The following is a 17,394-nucleotide window of genomic DNA, read 5'->3' on the forward strand; positions in this document are numbered from 1 at the left end:
CTAGTCTAGGTGTGTCATAGGCTTTCTCATCTAGGTTGGTGTGGCACACCCTGATGTTCTCACAATAGGAAATTGCGTAAGGATGCATTTCTCACAACGTACCCCCTTCACTAACCAATGCATGACTGTATGGATTCCTCAACCACAATTCTAAACATCTTTCCTTGCAACTCACTGCATCTTGGTGTTGGCTTAATGTTCTTTCTCATTTACTTTCATTTAGTTTTTAAAAAATTCAGCCTATTTTGGATATAATTGCAGATTCACATGCAGTTGCAAGAAATGATACCCATCACCCAGTTTTCTCCCGTGGTAACATTCTGCATAGCGATAGCACAATATCAAAACCGAGAAATTGGGTTTAAAGCCTTTTATCTACTCTCACAGGCACTAGGGATTTTTAAAATTCAGAGTTTAGGAATCACATTAATATTATCCAATTTTAAAGATTCCTAATCAGATTAATCAGGTAGCAAGTAAGGGTCCAAACTAGAGGAAGAGAAATGGCCTCTAGGAAAAAAGATTTCCTGAGGTTTCTCACTCTGTAATTTGGAACATAGGGATCAGAGGCAGAGAAAATCAGTTTACAATGCATAATGATATGTCTTTATTTCATCAACAGAAATGGTGTCTAGACAAAATTCAGTTAACACTAGCAATTCAATTGAGTGAAAACTTTTTTTGCACAATAGTGTATTTACAATGAGTAAATGAAGTTTCAATTCATTAGTTCATAGCAATGCTTTTTTCCCCCAAAAGGTAAAAATTCTTAGTTACAGAGAATAAGCATCAACAGCCTTTCATTTTTTACAATAAAAACCACGAGAAAAACCACAATCACTTAGAAAAAAATAAGGACAAGCCTAAGAACTAGTACAATAAAATGATGCATTGAATTAAATTACATTAATCGCATAGAATCTGTGTAAAAAGTATGTAGAAAAACACCTGATGTAACCTGTTACAGTCGTTGACCAGTTATGAGAGGTACAGAGGGTTATACAGGTAGATATGTGTGAAAACTGTCCGTATTGTTCAACCTGGGGAGGAAGAGAAGAGGGGCTGCAGCCCCTTGCATACACTGAGAAGACCCTGTTTTGAATATGGCCTCTGGAGTTTGTAAGGCATATATTAGAGGTGCACTTGCATCAGACTGGTTCTGGAACAAATTGTCAAATTGTCACAGGCTCTCTTGGCCTCACTAGCAAAGGTGGTGCTTGCCTTGAATGGCTCACTGTGTCTAACAAGCACCTGAAGCTCCCAAATGCATATGGAATCTTCCTGATCACTCACTAGAGGTGCCATGTCTTTATGTCAGAGCGTGAAACGGGCATCCCAGGATTTGCACACACAAAATACATTGTTAGGACTTAAGGGGAGGTCATAGTTCTGCCTCCAAACATGTTTTGGTAGAAGACTGAGCATCCATCTGTAGGAAAACCCCTCTTTGTCCAAGTCCCTTCACTCTTTCGCAACATATGCGTCTGATTATTCCCATGGGAGCACTTGGCACTGAATGTGAGTCTACCTGAAATGAATGGTCTTGGTGCACACTTCTGCTTCTAAGAAGGGCCAGTGTTTTATCTGAGGTCAATAAACTGGAATGAGAATGAAAGTCAGAGCTGTTTATCCATTGCTTGACAGCAAAATGCATACACCGTGTCACAACATTAAATCAAAGCTATGAAAGTTGGCCTCTGCAACCAAGTGGGTATTCTTCACAAAATGGCAGCATCGTTTTCATATTACATTTAAAATGCACTGATATTCATTTGATAGAAATATCATCTCCCAGGGTGGAGTGTAGGAAAATACTATAAACTTTTCTTTGCAAGTAATGTTTTTGCACCGTCAGTTGAATAATTTATGCTCAATCTGCCACAATGAGACTTTTCTATGTACAAATGCTATTTGCACACACTATTTGTGTACAGATATGTTCTGTTCTACAGCATCGGTTTTGGACGCTGGGGTCATGAGATGGCTCAGGCAGTACTATAAACATACACTTTCAACACACAATGCCTCGTGCACACAGATTTCCTGTATGAATACCAACTCCACACAGGGCATTGTATTGTGGACTGACTCACCAGAAATTGCACTTCCAACACAGTCTTCAGTTTGGGGAAGAAACACTAACTCATGATACAACGAACAGCTTTATTCTTAGAAAACAAAAACAAAAACAAAAAACACCTTGTTCTTTAGTCTATTTACAGTCATTTGAGGACCAAACTTGATTCTTGCTCCTTCTGGATCTGAGACTCCTCCTAAACTGTAAGCAATAGTGAAGCAGTTTGAAGTCATTTCTAAGACAGCTCCTAGTTTAAATGGGGCATAATGTAGAGAAGTAGGTAGCCAAATAGGGACTTGAGAAAGCTTTGCAGGCAGCTCTTCCTCATTTTGAGAGGATTATGCTACTCCACAGGATGTCAAGCAGCTTCACGGGACAGGAGTTTTTGGTGTCTTAACAGGCTTATCATTTTCAAACCTTTGTCTGTTCCTTCTTTTTCTTCTTCTTTGATGGCAATCATAAAATATTAAAAGAGAAAATGTGGGTTTAGGCCTCTTGACAACAGCATTAAACTTCACACTGTGCACACTTCACTTTAGCCAGTCCTCTCATGAGTCTTGTCGCTGGTCCTGGCTCCTTTTGAAGGAGTAGTGGCAGTTGGCATACTAATCACTAGACTTTTGTTCCCTTCCTTGGAAAAGCAATGTAAGGATTACATCCCGAATTATAGTGCATCTTAAAAGCAGCAAACCTTTAGAAAGACAGTTAATAAATTACTCGCACAACATTCAGTTGCAGACACACAGAGTCAGGTTTTCCACTGCAGCATCATCTCTGATGCCTGAGTCATTGCTGGGAACTCAGAAGATAAATAGCAGGATGGCCTCGTAACTTTGTCGGTTTTTTTTTTTTTAAAGTTTTTCTAACTGTTTTGTTCCAGAATCAGTATGTAATAAAGTTCGATTTTAATCAAGGCACCCCCAGGTAACGCAGAGAAACAAACACATACAGCAAATCACTCACCTGTCCAAAGCCTGACCAACTTGAAAAGAGGTTGCCTGGATACACAAGCAGGACAAAGGCAGATCCAAGGGGAGGACTGGATTTAGGTGGGATGTTCATTAGTCTCAGGGTCACTCACCTCCACTGGCTCTGCCCCAACAACCATTCCTACCCCAGCCATTTGGAGACCCAAGCAGGCATCCTCCTAAACAGCCCGTGGTTGGAGGGTCTCTTATTTTTGTAAGAAAAGAGCCTTAAGAACAACCAAATGTTACTGTACTGTGCAAACACTCTTCCTTGCTGTTCACTCACTTTTCTTTTTCCTAAAAGGCGTGGGGTTGACAGAGGGATCCCAGGGAAAAGAGACAGGCTAGGTTTTAAAATTCCACTTGAGGCCGTTTGGATTCTGGTCCCCAGCAAGTCCTCCCTTTGAATCAACCCAGAAATAATTTTGACAAGCACATAGTTCTGAATAGGAAAAGACACACACACATCACATGAACAACTGCACGAAGCTAGTCACTGTTCATGGTGGATTATGAATGAAATAACTTGTGAGAAATCTCTATGAAATTGGAAGATGGTTTTTAGAGCAGTGTTTTTAACCAGTTCCCATGGCAGAAGTTAGGTTGGGGGAAGAGGAAGAAAAGCAAGGCAGGGGTGGGTGGGAGGAAGGTGAGGTCTGAGTTAGGGTGGAGAGAAATAAAGAGGCCCCGCCCCTGCTAGAAATGGCTGCCAAACAGGTCTGGGCTACTGAACCACAGAAACCTGAGGAAATGGATGGAATGTGGTCAAGACTACCAGTTGCACATGAGTTGTTACCAGGGTAAACCTCATGCCAAGAAGCTGGGTTGGACCTGGTTATGATATGAGCAGAAAGTGTTCTTTTTTTAAAAGAAGAGGAGAGGTCACTTGGAAAGGCAACAATAGAGTTAAAAAGCAAAATACTGTCAGCTGACTCCACTGTAACACACGCCTGCGAAGTATCACGTGATTCACATTGAGTTTATATTCTCACTGTCACCAGTTTTCCACAAAGGCAAACCTCATGGTGAAGCACAGAACTGTCCTAGTAGGCCAAGAAATTCCAACAACCATAACAAAAACCAGCAGCTCCAACACAGAGCTTTATCAAGATCTGTTTCAGACACACACACACACACACACACACACACACACACACACACACACACACACAAACAAGAAAAAACAAAAACCCAGAGGCAGGTTTTAAAAGTGGAACTGTTTAAAAAGAAAAGCCTTTTTTTTTTTTTTTTTTTTTTTTTTATCCTACTGCATGAACTGACAAATTTCTGGCATTCATACATATTTAAACATTTAGTGCTAATATTTGTACAGAAAAAAGTTAATAATACTAAAACATATGTTACTATGATTTCACTTTTAGCCTACATCATATACTAATTTCCCCTTTTACATGCAGCTTTAATATTGTCCAAACAATGGCACAAATAAAGAAACAAAGTCAACCATCTATTCCCCACTGCCCACCACCCCATCCCCACATCAAACCGTTCAGGACTCTCTTCCCCAGCCGGGCTGGAGTGGCCCTCGGGCTGCTCAGTGAGACCCGGACCCAAGGCCACTGGAGCGAGGGAGCTGATTCCTCCTCCTCTGGGGCACACCTTCCTGTAAACGTGGCTGGGGCCAACACGGCCCCAGAGCCAAGGGAAGCTGCTCTCTCTGGGTTGCAAGCCAACCAGTTTTGCAGCAAGAAGAGAAAATTATCATCAGGTGAGGGTAGGGTATGTGTGTGATTCGGGAAGGGGACAGGGAGGGTTCCCGGTGATAGCTTGTCCAAAGCCTCAGAATGAAGTCTGCCTTCAGACAAGACACTGGCAGAAAAACCTCAGAAGAAAACTCCAAGCCTTTGGAGAAGGAAAGGAGAAAGAATGTGTCAGCCTGTGTCAGGGATGGATCGCAGATGCCAGGATGCCCTGCTCTCTCCCAATGGGGTGAAGGCAGGACCTTCGGGGCTGTGATTCAAATCCCCTCAGGCCAGATGTCCTGGGAGGCCAAGCCTGGGCAGGAAAGCCAGTGGCTGGTTGGCCCCGTCCTTCAGGGGAGCAGGTCCTACTGCACAACACTTCCAAGAGCAAGCCGAGGCCTCAGGACGTGTTGAAATGAATGGGACTTACTCCCTGGGTGAAAACTTTCTAACTTGATTTCTAGGAGCCAATGCCTGCTGAGTTCTGGTATAAAATCACGGATTCCTGTTTTTCTGATGTACTTTTGAGTGAGATGTCCAAACTCTCTCCCCACTTAGGAATCTGAACATCCAGCATCAACTCTGAACTCTCTATCTGCGTTTAAACTTTGCTTAGGGAAAGGTGGGGAGGAGGTGAAATATAAAAATATTCAAGCAGATTATTGTCTACACATCCTAGGATGAATTCATTATTTGGCAAGATTGTTTTTCCTACATAATTATCACCTGAGTGCTTTTTAATTAGCTAAAATGTTTTACTTTTTTAACTAAAAGCAAAGAATATACAGTATACTTGAGTTATACCGAAGTTACAACTTCATTTAAGAAAATAGGTTTGACCCAAAACTCAGTGCAAGTGGCAAAGTTGACCATTACTGTACAGTATCTGCAAGGAAAACAAAAACAAAAACAAAAACAAACAAAACCCCCCAAACAAACAAAAAACAAACCTACAATGCTCAAATGACACCACTTGGAGGTGCCAAAACCAAACCAAACGAAAAAGAAATCTGAAATAAAACCTTGGGAAAAAGCTTCCAACACTGAATTTTGTCCATAAATAAGTACGAATTGAAAATTGAACTGTGAAGCAAGAAAAATGACCATGTTAACAGTTACCAAACTAGTTCTAGCATCAGAGACAAAAGAAGAGGAATGTTGGAACCTGTTTCTAAATGAGAAATAAGTTTCCAGTTTTAGGATGAGAAAGTTGAGGCATGCAGGACTTTTGCATATGGATATATATATATATATATATATATTTTATATATATATTATATATAATATGTACAGTCTAGCTATAAAACTTTGATGTGTATAGAAGCTGTCTTCAATGAAAAAAATTGAACATTCAGAAGAAATTCCTGAGATAGGGTTTGTGACATGGGCCACTGAGAAAAAAAATCCGTGGTTGGGGCCTAGAGGTGTTGTAGTCTATCCCTGTGAAGACTGAAATTGAGCCACAGACAGACAGTGTCATCACTGCTGTCTTTCCTTGCCTGGGCAAGGGGTAGCACCATTGTGAAGGTAACTATCACTCCTGCTCGAGAAGAGGAGAGGATACTTCGGAACAGTATTGCTGCTAAGACCGCTGTAGTGTGCACCAAATGTGTTCTCGGTTTCTTCGGGACAGCAGATGAACAGTGCCACAGGCTGACTGAAGAACGCCTGGATGGGAGAGGTGTGCGGACTGGGAGGCAGAGCCGAGTCACTAGGTATAATCTTTCCTGGGCTGTTCGTCAGTTGTACACTTATCAGTCATTTCCTGGCAGAAGTCCACGGTCACTGTTTGGCTCCTGGGTTCAAGAGGAGGTCCTCTCTCTGAGAAGGTTCCCGGGTCAGTGCCTTCTAGTCTCCTCCCAGAGGTACAATTCTCGGAGGTGTTGCTGGGTGCCCAGGGGGGTCCGGGGGGAGCCGCGCCTGGCTCCAAGCAGCAGGGCACGTTTTCCCCCACTGCGCATTGGGAGGCCGCAATGTTCTGCTCAGCACCCAAGGGCGCAGGGTTAATACTGGAGGCCGTGGGCAAGTCCATGGGTCTGAGGACAGGGCAATACCGATGCAGGGCCTGGATCTGCTCGGGGCTCTGGATGTCTCGGCAAACTTCCTGGGAAAGGCAGGAGAAGTTGTCCAACAGTTCCCCCATGCATGCTTTCAGTTGATTCCTCTCTGACAACAGTTTCTCTTTCTCACACACCTGGACAGTAGAGAAAAAAAGAGAAGGGTTGATCAAGCCTGAACTGGAGGACAGAAGGCCTCGTTTCAGGTTTTCCAGCCTTTGTTTTGCATCCTCCATTATAATGTAACTCAAGAATGACTAGGTCAGGCTCTAGAAACTTAAAGATACATATTCAGGGGGCCCAGACACAGGCTTCTGCCACACCTTCCATCTGATGCCAACACCTTCCCCAGGACATCTCTTCATCCCTCTCCAAGGCCCGGGCAAACAACCGGCAAAATCGTCACGAATCAGAAAACTTCAGAGTCCATGTTTTGGTTTCCTGGAATTTGGGGTTTGTAGAGAGTTAAATGAAAAACTCTCAGTCCCAATCTTGTGACTGAAAATCTCCCCCAAATGTATCAGGTTGCCATTTTTGAAAGGCAAAAATCTACCATTCCAACCGTATGACATTTCGAAAAAAGCAAAACTATGGAAGCAGTAAAAAGATCTGTGGTTGTTAGGGGTAAAAGGGGTTGAACAGGTGGAGCACAGAGGATTTGGGGGCAGTGAAGCCACTCTGTATGACACTATACTGGTGGATCCATGTCATTATACATTTGTCCAAAACCATAGAACGTGCAACACCGAGAGTGAACTCTAATGCAAACTATGGACTTGGGTGATAATGATGTGTCAGTGTAGGTTCATTGACTAACACATGTACCACTTTGTGGGGGATGCTGACAGTGGGGGAGGCTGTGTGTGTGGGAACAGGACCATATGGAAACTCTCTGTATAGTGTGTTCAGTTTTGCTGTGAACCTAAAACTGCTCCTAAAAAAGTAAGTCAGGCTGGGTGCAGTGGCTCCCACCTATAATCCCAACACTATGGAAGGCCAAGTTGTGCGGATCGCTTGAGCTCAGGAGTTTGAGACCAGCTTGGGGAACATGGCAAAACCCCTTCTCTACAAAAAATACAAAAATTAGCCAGGTGTGGTGGCACACGCCTGTAGTTTCAGCTTCTTGGGAGGCTGAGGTGGGAGGATCACTTGTGCCCGGGTGGTGGAAGCTGCAGTGAGCGAGATGGTGCCACAGCACTCACCCTGGGTGATACAGTGAGACCCTGTCTCCCCGCACCAAAAAAAAGTTTATTAAAAAAAAAGACAAAAAAAAAGTCATCAACAATTTCCTGTCGTTGCCTAACATACGGAGTTTCATATAGAACCCAGTATCAGCAGGCTCTCTGGCCTTGGTAGCAGAGCAGACTGAACAGGAGGGACCCTCCCTAGGACAGCTGGGAAAAGTGCAGTCTGGAGCAGCGATTCTCCCCGACTTGGGAAGGGAGAAGTAAGGATGGAGCCTGAACCCTTGAGTACTAGCCCAAGGTTCTGAGATGTTCTTCTCCTTAAACAAAATCCTACACATGCTCCTGTGTTACTGAAATTCACCATCCCAATAGAGAGGTGACTTCAGCAGCAGACTGGAGACTAATTAAGGTTTTACCATCAACATTTGTGAGAAGGGGGCTGGGCATGGTGGGTCATGCCTGTAATCCCAGCACTTTGCGGCTGAGATGGGCAGATCACTTGAGGTCAGGAGTTCGAGACCAGCCTGGCCAACATGGTGAAACCCTGTCTTTACTAAAAATACAAAAAATTAGCTGGGTGTGTTGGTGCGTGCTTATAATCCCAGCTACTTAGGCGGCTGGGACATGAGAATTGCTTGAATCCGGGAGGTGGAGGTTGCAGTGAGCCGAGATTGCACCACTGCACTCCAGTCTGGGCGACAGAGCGAGACTTTGTCTCAAAAAAAAGAAAAAAAAATTGCGTGAGGGTGAGGGGAGGAGATGGGGTTCCATGAGGCACACACAATGAAGTGGATGAAGAAAAGGGGCATCTGAAGCAGCATGAAGTCAGTTCTCACCAACCCTTTGCAAGCGCAGGCAGGAGAAGAGGACGGGAGAGAAAATGAAGAGGAGAAAGGGAGGAGCAGGCATGCGACACGCACAAGGAACAGGTCTCCGACACGGGAGCTGCATGTGCCGTAACATGAATGCAATCTGGCAGGCGGCGTGGGCATGTGTGTCGGAAAGAGAGATTTACACCGGGAAAGGGCACCTCCTAAAATATTTATAAATTTATCAAGAAAATATGTTTTAAAAATGAAAAATAAACAGATGTACAAGTGCAACTTGAGAGAAATACATTATGCGAGTTTGCAACAGCTGAGTGGCGGGTGTGTGGGAGACGGCGTGGGAGTGGGGAGTGAGTGCAGGGCCTGCTGGGGACCGGGCAGGGCAGGGAGGGACTTGGGGAGAGGTGGAAGCTGCTCCGCCCACCAGCGCCATCCCTGTCAGGACATAGCATCCTCACCACAGGGTGGCAGATAAGAAACAAAACACATCTGGGATGTCTCCTTAGGGAAAAAACTTATATGGGTGGCTGTGCAACCTGGAGCTCTCCCCTTTTAGTACAGAAATCTGCAATGTGAGGGGCAATACTGCTTGGGCGCTGGGAGAGGAACCCCAGGATCATTCTGCCACATTACCCCGGCCAAAGCACGGACCCCTCCAGGCCTACTCATCTGTTAAATGTTCCAGGCCACTTTCTAGGGGGAAGAAAATGAGGTGCCGCGTGTGACAGCAGCAGGGGAAGGCATTGCAAATCATGCCTTGGTTAAAACCATGAAGCTCTCAGTCACAGACGTACACTGATGAATGTGTTCTTATTCGGCACTGAAACACAACGTGTTATTTAAGGGGATGCCAAAAAGTGGTTGGAGAACTAGATGATGCTCTAATTTGGTTTTTTGGTTGAAAAATGCTAGCAAAGCGCTTTAGATATCTGCCTGGTCTGTGGCTTGGAATTTATTTGTTCAGTATCACAAAATTACACTAAGCAGAATGCAAATTACCAAAACCAGGCATTTCTCAAATGTGGGTGACTGAAGTTATTTTACTACCTTAAGAGGAGTGCAGGGCACTATAGACATGTGCCTAGGCCCCTGTAGACTCACACCCAGTGGACTTAACTACCTAAGCCCAGCAGGCTTTCAGAAGACCCACACTCACCAGCAGGAATGTCGTCTCCTTATGTGATTTAAATTAAATTTTGTTGTTTAACGACATTAAACATGTTAAAGCAATATTTGAAAGAAAGAAGAAACTCATAATCCCCTGAACTGAATAGTCACAATGTCCAGCGAATTTTAGGGCAATAGACATTTTCTGGGCGCCAGCAATGGGTCCAACACTGGATATTCAGAGATGATCAAGTCACTGTCCTTGTCCTTGAGGAACTGACAGTTGAGGGCTGGGGAGACAGACAAATGTATAGATAACTCAAGAGTAAGTGATAAGCACTAAGCCAGAGGTCAGATCAGGCTTCCACAGGCAGGTGCCCAGCCTAACTGGGGACTCAGGAAAGGGGCTTCCTAGAGAGGTGATGCATAACCTGACTCATTCATTCATTTAGAGATGGGGTCTTGCTATATTGCCCAGGCTAGTCTCAAACTTGTGGCCTCAAGTGATCCTCCTGCCTCAGCCTCCCAAAGTACTGCGATTACAGGTGTGAGCCATGGTGCCCAGCCATGACCTGACTCTTAAAGAACAAAGGAGATAGAAAAAGTGGAGGAATGTCCAAGGCAGAGAGGAAGTGGCATAGGCACAAGTGCAGAGTTTGATTTTATCAGGGATCAAGTCCTAGGAAGGGAGTGGATGGTGACACTGGAGAGGTAGCTACAGACTGGAACACAAATGGCAGGAGATATCCTACTAAGAAGCTTGGACTTTCTTTGTTGGTGATGGGAGCTGCTAAACACAGACATTTTCCCTGGTGGTGAGTGTCAAAGAAACCCACAAAACAACAACAACAACAATAACAAAAAACCCTGACGTCCAGGGCTATCTTGATAACATATAACATCCTGTGCTTTTCTAACATTTCATCCTTGTGCTTTCGTTCTCATTAGCTGGTGGCTCACCATGAGGCCAGGAGGTGCTGCAAACAGTCTGAGGAGCCACACTTAGATCATGACCATACCATGTGGCCTCCCTCTTCTTCAGCCTGACACAGACATGGCACCTGAGATGAGTTTCTGTTATTTGGTGGCAGAAAGGTGGAGCTGAAGGAGGTTGAGTTGGTTGTCTTCAAAGCTACAGTCAGGAGCCAGAGGTCACCTGGATTTACTTTCTGTAGTTTATGGTTGCTTATCAAGGAGAAGGGGCGGGGGCACATAGCTCTGAGTATGGGGGAGCCTGGGAGACGGGAGTTTGTTTTCTGTGACAAAACACTCTCAGGCACAGGGATGGCGATGACAGCCACCTTGAGGCAGAACTGCAAAAGAAAGGACCCTGGGCCTGCAAAGAATGTCAGGAGATCATCTCCTGAGCAATGGCCCCTCTGCAGGTAGGCGTCCTATCTCTATTCCATTCTCTTCTGCCAGGAGGCAGGAGAAAGCAGTGGTACAAGACACGATTTGGAATCAGACACCTGGGTTTGCATTCAAGTTCTACCAAGTACTGGGAAGTTTTCCAGCCCTTCTGCAGTTCCCTCCTCTGTAAATGGGGATAAAGGAGTGCCTGAGTCATAGCGTTCATGTGAGGATTAAATGGGATCATCCATAAAAACAGTTTAGAAGAATACCTGGACCATAGATGCTCATAATCAACATCAGTTATTTATTCATTTTTTTTTGAGACAGGGTTTCACTCTATCACCCAGGCTGGAATGCAGTGGCGTGATCTCCACTCACTGCAACCTTCACTTCCCCTGCTCAAGTGATTATCCTGCCTCAGCCTCCCGAATAGCTGGGACTACAGGCACGTGCTGCCATGCCCGGCTAATTTTTTGTATCTTTAGTAGAGACAGGGTTTCTCCATGTTGGTCAGGCTGGTTTCAAACTCCTGACCTCAAGTGATCCACCCGCCTTGGCCTTTCAAAGTGCTAGGATTACAGGCGTGAGCCACCACATCTGGCCAACATCAGTTATTTTCACATGTTGGATGGAAAATAAAAAATAACTACCTCTATATGAATAATGACTGAAGGATATAAAATATTGACACACTATTACACACCTGCGCGCATGCATGCGCGTGCAGACACACAAACACACACACACACACGCACAGATGTAAAGCTATTATTTCTGTTGAGAAACTTCTTAAAAAATAAACCCAAACTTCCGCAAAGGGTGACCCTTCTGTCTACTTTTCCAACTTTCATTGCTGTTACTTTACATTAGTCCTGGTCACTTCAGGTTGCTGATCACAATGGATGGGTCAACTCACCAATTTGCGGATTTCACATTCTAAATTCTGAATACAGTCCAGTTTCCTTTTGCGGCAGCGCTGGGCCGCGATGCGGTTCTTGCTGCGCCGTCGGACATCATGAATAAACTCTAACTGTTCTGAGGTTAGCTTGTGCATTTTAATCATCATCTGGAAATCGTTCCTTGGAAGATCTGTGATTTGATCTACAGGAAAAGGAAGTTTTACCTGAAACCAAGAATAACAGAAAATGATTATGGCAGCTGGATTTTAATTCTGGCAGGCGGAACATCAAAAATGATAAAACCTCCTTTTTATGATGACCAAGTAATATGGAAACTACTGAAAGCAAGCAGTGATTACTTATTTCCTGTTTAAAGACAGATAAGATGTAATAATACCTGGATAATCAAACAGAATAAGAACACATATATTGCAATGTTATTGTCTCTGAGATTTTTGAAGCAAATGACATGAACAATATTGGAAAATGTGTCATTTTTCATTGATGTAGCACTTTTGTAAGAAAGATTCTAGTTAGTTGAAATGTACTTCCATAAGACCTACAGCCTAACTCAATAAAATGACAAGTTATAGGGAGATACCACATAAGGACATATCTAAAGCCCCTGAATGAAGAGAGCCCCATGTATCCTGAAAATGCTGGAGACACAAAAAACCCAGTGTGATTCTTAGTTACAATAGCATATGGGAGATAGGAGGAGATAACTTGGATAGGCTTCACTAGCATATAGTAGGAGTCAAAAGAACCGGGCTTTCATCCTTCTCACCAGACATGAGACCTCAGGCTAGCTACTCCACCTCTCTGAGATTCAATTTCCTCATCTGAAAAATAGGGCATTTTAAAAAAGCCGTACAGTGCTATACAAGTGTTGGGCACTTTGGGAATTTATTTTCCAATTTTACAATGAAATGTTGACATTCCTTTATCAAAAGGTGAGATGCATTTTTCCTGCCTTTTGACCAACAGAATGCAGCAGTAGTAATGGTGTATAGTTTCTGAGGCTAGGTCGAAAATTAGCTGCCATGCCTCGAGGACATTCAAGCAGCTCTGTGGAGAGGCCCATGTGGAGAGGGGCTGATGCCTCTAGTCAACAACCAGCATCACCTTGCCAGTCATGTGAACAAGCCACCCTGGAAAGATTCTCTAGCCCCAGTCAAACCTTCAGTTGAGTGTAGCCCCAGCCAACATCTGACTTCACCTTATGAGAGATCTTCAGCCCAAACTGCTCAGATGGGCAACTCCTGAATTCCTGACTCACATTCACATTTCTCATAGAAACTGTAAGAGGTGTTAAGTGATTACTATTGTTTTAGGTCATTAAGTTTTGGGGTGATTTATTATGCAACAATAGACATTGGATGCAGGTACTTGCCAGCAAAATTCCAAATCTTGACAAATTCCAATTCTTGACAAATCAAGGCAAATAAGCATTATCTAAAGCGAGGACAGCAGTCTCCTGAAGGATGGGTTTGTATCCTTACTATGTTGTTAAATGATTGCTTATATTTCTTTTTTTTTTTTTTTTTTTTTTTTTTGAGACAGGGTCTTGCTCTGTTACTCAGGCTGGAGTGGAGTGTTATGATCACAGCTCACTGTAGCCTTAACCTCCTGGGCTCAAGCAATCCTCTTGCCTTGGCCTCCCAAGTAGCTGGGACAACCCTGCCCAGTTAATTAAATTTTTTTTTTTTTTTTTTTTTTGTAGAGATGAGGTCTTGCGCCACAGAGAAGGGGAAAAAAAGAGATGAAGTCTCACAATGTTGCCCAGGCTGGTTTCAAACTCCTGGGCTCAAGTGATTCTCCCTACTCAGCCTCCCAAAGTGTTGGTATTACAGGTGGGAGCCACTATTCCTGGCCTGAAATATTTCTTTTCTTTTTTCTTTTGAGATGGAGTCTCGGTCTGTCACCCAGGCTGGAGTAGAGTGGCACGATTTTGACTCACGGCAAACTCCACCTCCCTGGTTCAAGCGATTCTCCTGCCTCACCTCCTGAGTAGCTGGGATTGCAGGTGTGCACCACCATGCCCAGCTAATTTTTGTATTTTCAGTAGAGATGCGGTTTTGCCATGTTGGCCAGGCTGGTCTTGAACTCCTGGTCTCAAGTGATCCGCCCGCCTTGGCCTCCCAAAATGCTGGGCTTACAGGGGTGAACCATGGTGCCTGGCCTGAAATATTTCTTAAGAATAGCAACCAGTGAAAAAGACTGCATGAAAGAGCCCCAAGTGCGGAAGGTGAGCAGCAAACCACTACTCTATCTCAAGAGCCTCCTTGGCACCCATGAGGTGACACAGGCTTGCACCTTTGAGCAGTTTGTCACTCCCCTTCCCGAGGCTCTTGGGGATTCAGCAGCTTCTGGGTTCAGTCTGGTCCTGCTTCAGAAGCTCCTGGAATAAAAAGGTTGTGTGCTGCCAGGCTAAGAGACAACGTGTGGGTTAGCTCAGATTGCTTCATTCTTGTTTACATTCACGTCTGCTCCGGATGAGCCAGCAGATGGCACTACAAACCTAAACTTCCTTCAAGCACTAGCCCAGCCCTGTCTAATACAAACAATACGAGCTACATTTGTGATTTTAAATTTTCCAGCAGCTACATTAAAAGAAGTAAAAAGAAACAGGTGAAATGAGTTTGAATACTGTATGTTATTTAACCCAATAGATAAAAATACTTCCAACATATAGCTAATATAATTATTAATGAGATAGTTTACAGTTTTTTTTTTTTTTGTGCTAAACTTTCCAAATCCAAAGCACATTTTATCCTTACAGCACATCATAATTCAGACTAGCCACTTTCAGGGGCTCAACAGCCACGTGCAGCATGAGGCAAATGGACTGGACAGTGCCACTCTAGGAGACAGAATAAATGGACTCAATGAATCCCAGCAGCCAGAAAAACATATGGGTCTGGGCTGAACTGATCAAAATGCTCTTGGGTGAAGAAACCAACCCCTCGATAGTGTTCAGATGCTGCAGGGTTAAGTCTGTGTTCTTCAAGGGAGTGAGGATGAAGACATTTGATCCTGAGCCCAGGTTTCTCTTTGGTTACATCATTTGCAGGCAGACACGAGTCCCGGCTGCCGGCATGTGTGGCTAGTCAATTCCCGTGCACAAAGGCAAATGTACAAAATGATCATTTGACTTTTCTGTGGTTGGGTGCAAGCTCTTTGTCAGGTTCCATCACAGCTCCGAGCTTGTGCAGTGTGGCATTTACTGAAGGTTCCCAGCAGGTGATCTGATTCAACTTCTACCTGGTGAGCTCTGTCCCATGACACCTGTAAAATTTTGGTCCAAGAAAGCAAAATCGCAGTAGGGCCCATGACACCACTGTCGGCTTGGCCCTGCTCCGACTGCTAAAGACAGGCAGCCAGGACAAACAGTTCCTTGTTATGGGCTCGGGAAAGGCCTTTGTGCACGGGGCTGTGTTTGCACAGGGCTTCTAATGATATGAAAGAATGTTTGATTTCCCTCTTATACCCGTTGGATAACAAACACACTCAGATCCTGCACGGTGTCTCCGGAACACAGAGGTCTGTCTGTTGGAGATGTGGATGTTCCAACACAGCAGAGGTGGTGGCGCTTTGGGGGCTTGTGGAGTTTTCCCTCTGATGACAACAAAGCCATTCTGCTTCTGCTCTAAATGTGTTTACTTACTCTCAGAAAGAAGATATCCCTATAGTTCAGGCCACAGGGAAAGTCAAAAGGATGTCTATACCAAGAGCTACTGTATTTAAATCATCCAGACAGTGAATATAAAACACTAGGGGAATAGGAGGGAGAGTTGCCAAGAAAAAGAAAAAAATCACCAATGCTAGTTTCAAAGTCCTTGAGACAAAAAGCCATACAACACTTCAGCAGAGCTGCTGCAACACAATCTGCTTTTTAAAGAGGGTCAGAGGAAAAGGTAATGGGTCAACTATAGACTTTCTCCCAGGTGAAAAAAACCCCAACTCACTCTTGTTTCTCTTTACAAGTCTTGGTTCCCCCTCTAGCAAGGGAGGACTTATGTTCACTGACATGCGGGGGTCTCTGAGGTGTTCTCAGACAGGCACCGGGTCGGGGTGGGTGGGAACTTGACCACATCCAAGTTGTTTCTTGAGTAATAAGTTCCAAGCCAAGAACATCTTGTCTGGAAATAAGGAGTAGCCACTGACTGTTTGGTCCCGTGGAGGACATGCCTCTCCCAGGCTCTCGGCACTCAAAACATTCCTCAAATGGGGCTGAGGAGTCAGAGAAGGCCAACAGACCTTGGAAAGCGGAAACACATCAAGAAGGTTGAGGCCCACCTCTTTTCCTTCTAGATAATTATTCTGAGCCAAACAGGCCCAGTTGGGCTTAACATCTTATTAACTGTCCCTCCACACACTTGCTCCTCCAGGATCTCACTTCCCAGCAGTGGCTTGGTTTCCTAAAGAGTCCCAACAGCCAATGTGATGAGGTGAAGAGTCCTGTGGACTGTCGCCATCCCCACTAGTTATACTCAGCCACCCACACACAGCTCCGGACACACAGGCTGCATATAAGGGGAAGGGCACGAGGGATTCATGGGCGCCACTCTTTAGCCAGGGGTCTACCACTTTGGTTCTCAGTGGAGAATCGGAGAATCAGGGCAGCCACTGAGTCAGCAGGCCAAGGGCCAAACAGGGCACCAGAGGCCTGTGCCACAGTTGGCACAATAAGCTGCTGTTGATTTTATTCAGCCCAGCAAAGTGTTGACTCTTCCCCCTCTGGAACACGACAGGAGCAGCAGGACCGAGGTGGGTTTTTAGCACGGTACCTGCCCTGTCCTGCTAAGCACGGCTATAGGAGGGTTAGTTCTTCTGGAGATTCCAGCTTTACACATTTTTTTTCTTTTAAAGACAGGGTCTCGCTCTGTTGCCTAGGCTGGTCTCAAACTCCTGGCCTCAAGCTATCTTCCTTCCTTGGCCTCCCAAACTGTTGGGATTATAGGAGTGAGCCACCACGCCTGGCTAGGCTCCAGCTCCTGAGCAGTCAGTAAAATGGATAGTCCCTGCAGTGTGTCCAGGGATTCTTAGGTCCAGGTGTGACATCTGGACAGTGCATGGAACCTACATATGTCTCCTTGCATGCTGTCTGCACCAACGAGGCAGAGGGGAGGCTGTAGGCTGGGCCCTGGAATGCCGGTGCTTCCTTCTCACCAAACAGAAATCGGCTGCTTTATTTCTCTTCCCTGCCAACAGCC

General features: G+C 44.8%; 1 protein-coding gene across 2 annotated transcripts in view, besides 2 other annotated features; it reads right to left on the reverse strand.

Annotated features, from left to right (window-relative positions):
* Positions 1-579: 579 nt before the first annotated feature.
* The window catches only part of BACH2 (BACH transcriptional regulator 2), a 370,316-nt gene continuing 353,501 nt past the window's right edge, over positions 580-17,394 (reverse strand). For both annotated transcript variants that reach the window (NM_001170794.2, NM_021813.4), the window contains 2 exons: positions 12,196-12,402; positions 580-6,942 (listed from right to left, as the gene is read on the reverse strand). In NM_001170794.2, the coding sequence (NP_001164265.1) occupies positions 6,460-6,942; positions 12,196-12,402 (690 nt within the window). In that variant the 3' untranslated portion in view covers positions 580-6,459. The remainder of the gene's footprint in view (positions 6,943-12,195; positions 12,403-17,394) is intronic.
* Positions 1,862-2,156: a silencer, noted in NCBI's record as "tiled region #14578; K562 Repressive non-DNase unmatched - State 22:ReprW". NCBI's record gives its function as "represses a minimal TATA promoter and a strong SV40 promoter by Sharpr-MPRA in K562 cells {active_cell/tissue: K562}" and the evidence as "EXISTENCE:reporter gene assay evidence [ECO:0000049][PMID:27701403]".
* Positions 8,655-9,155: an enhancer, noted in NCBI's record as "H3K4me1 hESC enhancer chr6:90644322-90644822 (GRCh37/hg19 assembly coordinates)". NCBI's record gives its function as "activates a minimal SCP1, AML or CMV promoter by ChIP-STARR-seq in primed H9 embryonic stem cells {active_cell/tissue: H9 hESC(primed)}" and the evidence as "EXISTENCE:reporter gene assay evidence [ECO:0000049][PMID:30033119]".

The sequence above is a fragment of the Homo sapiens genome, chromosome 6 (assembly GCF_000001405.40).
Source record: "Homo sapiens chromosome 6, GRCh38.p14 Primary Assembly".
Taxonomy (NCBI): domain Eukaryota; kingdom Metazoa; phylum Chordata; class Mammalia; order Primates; family Hominidae; genus Homo; species Homo sapiens.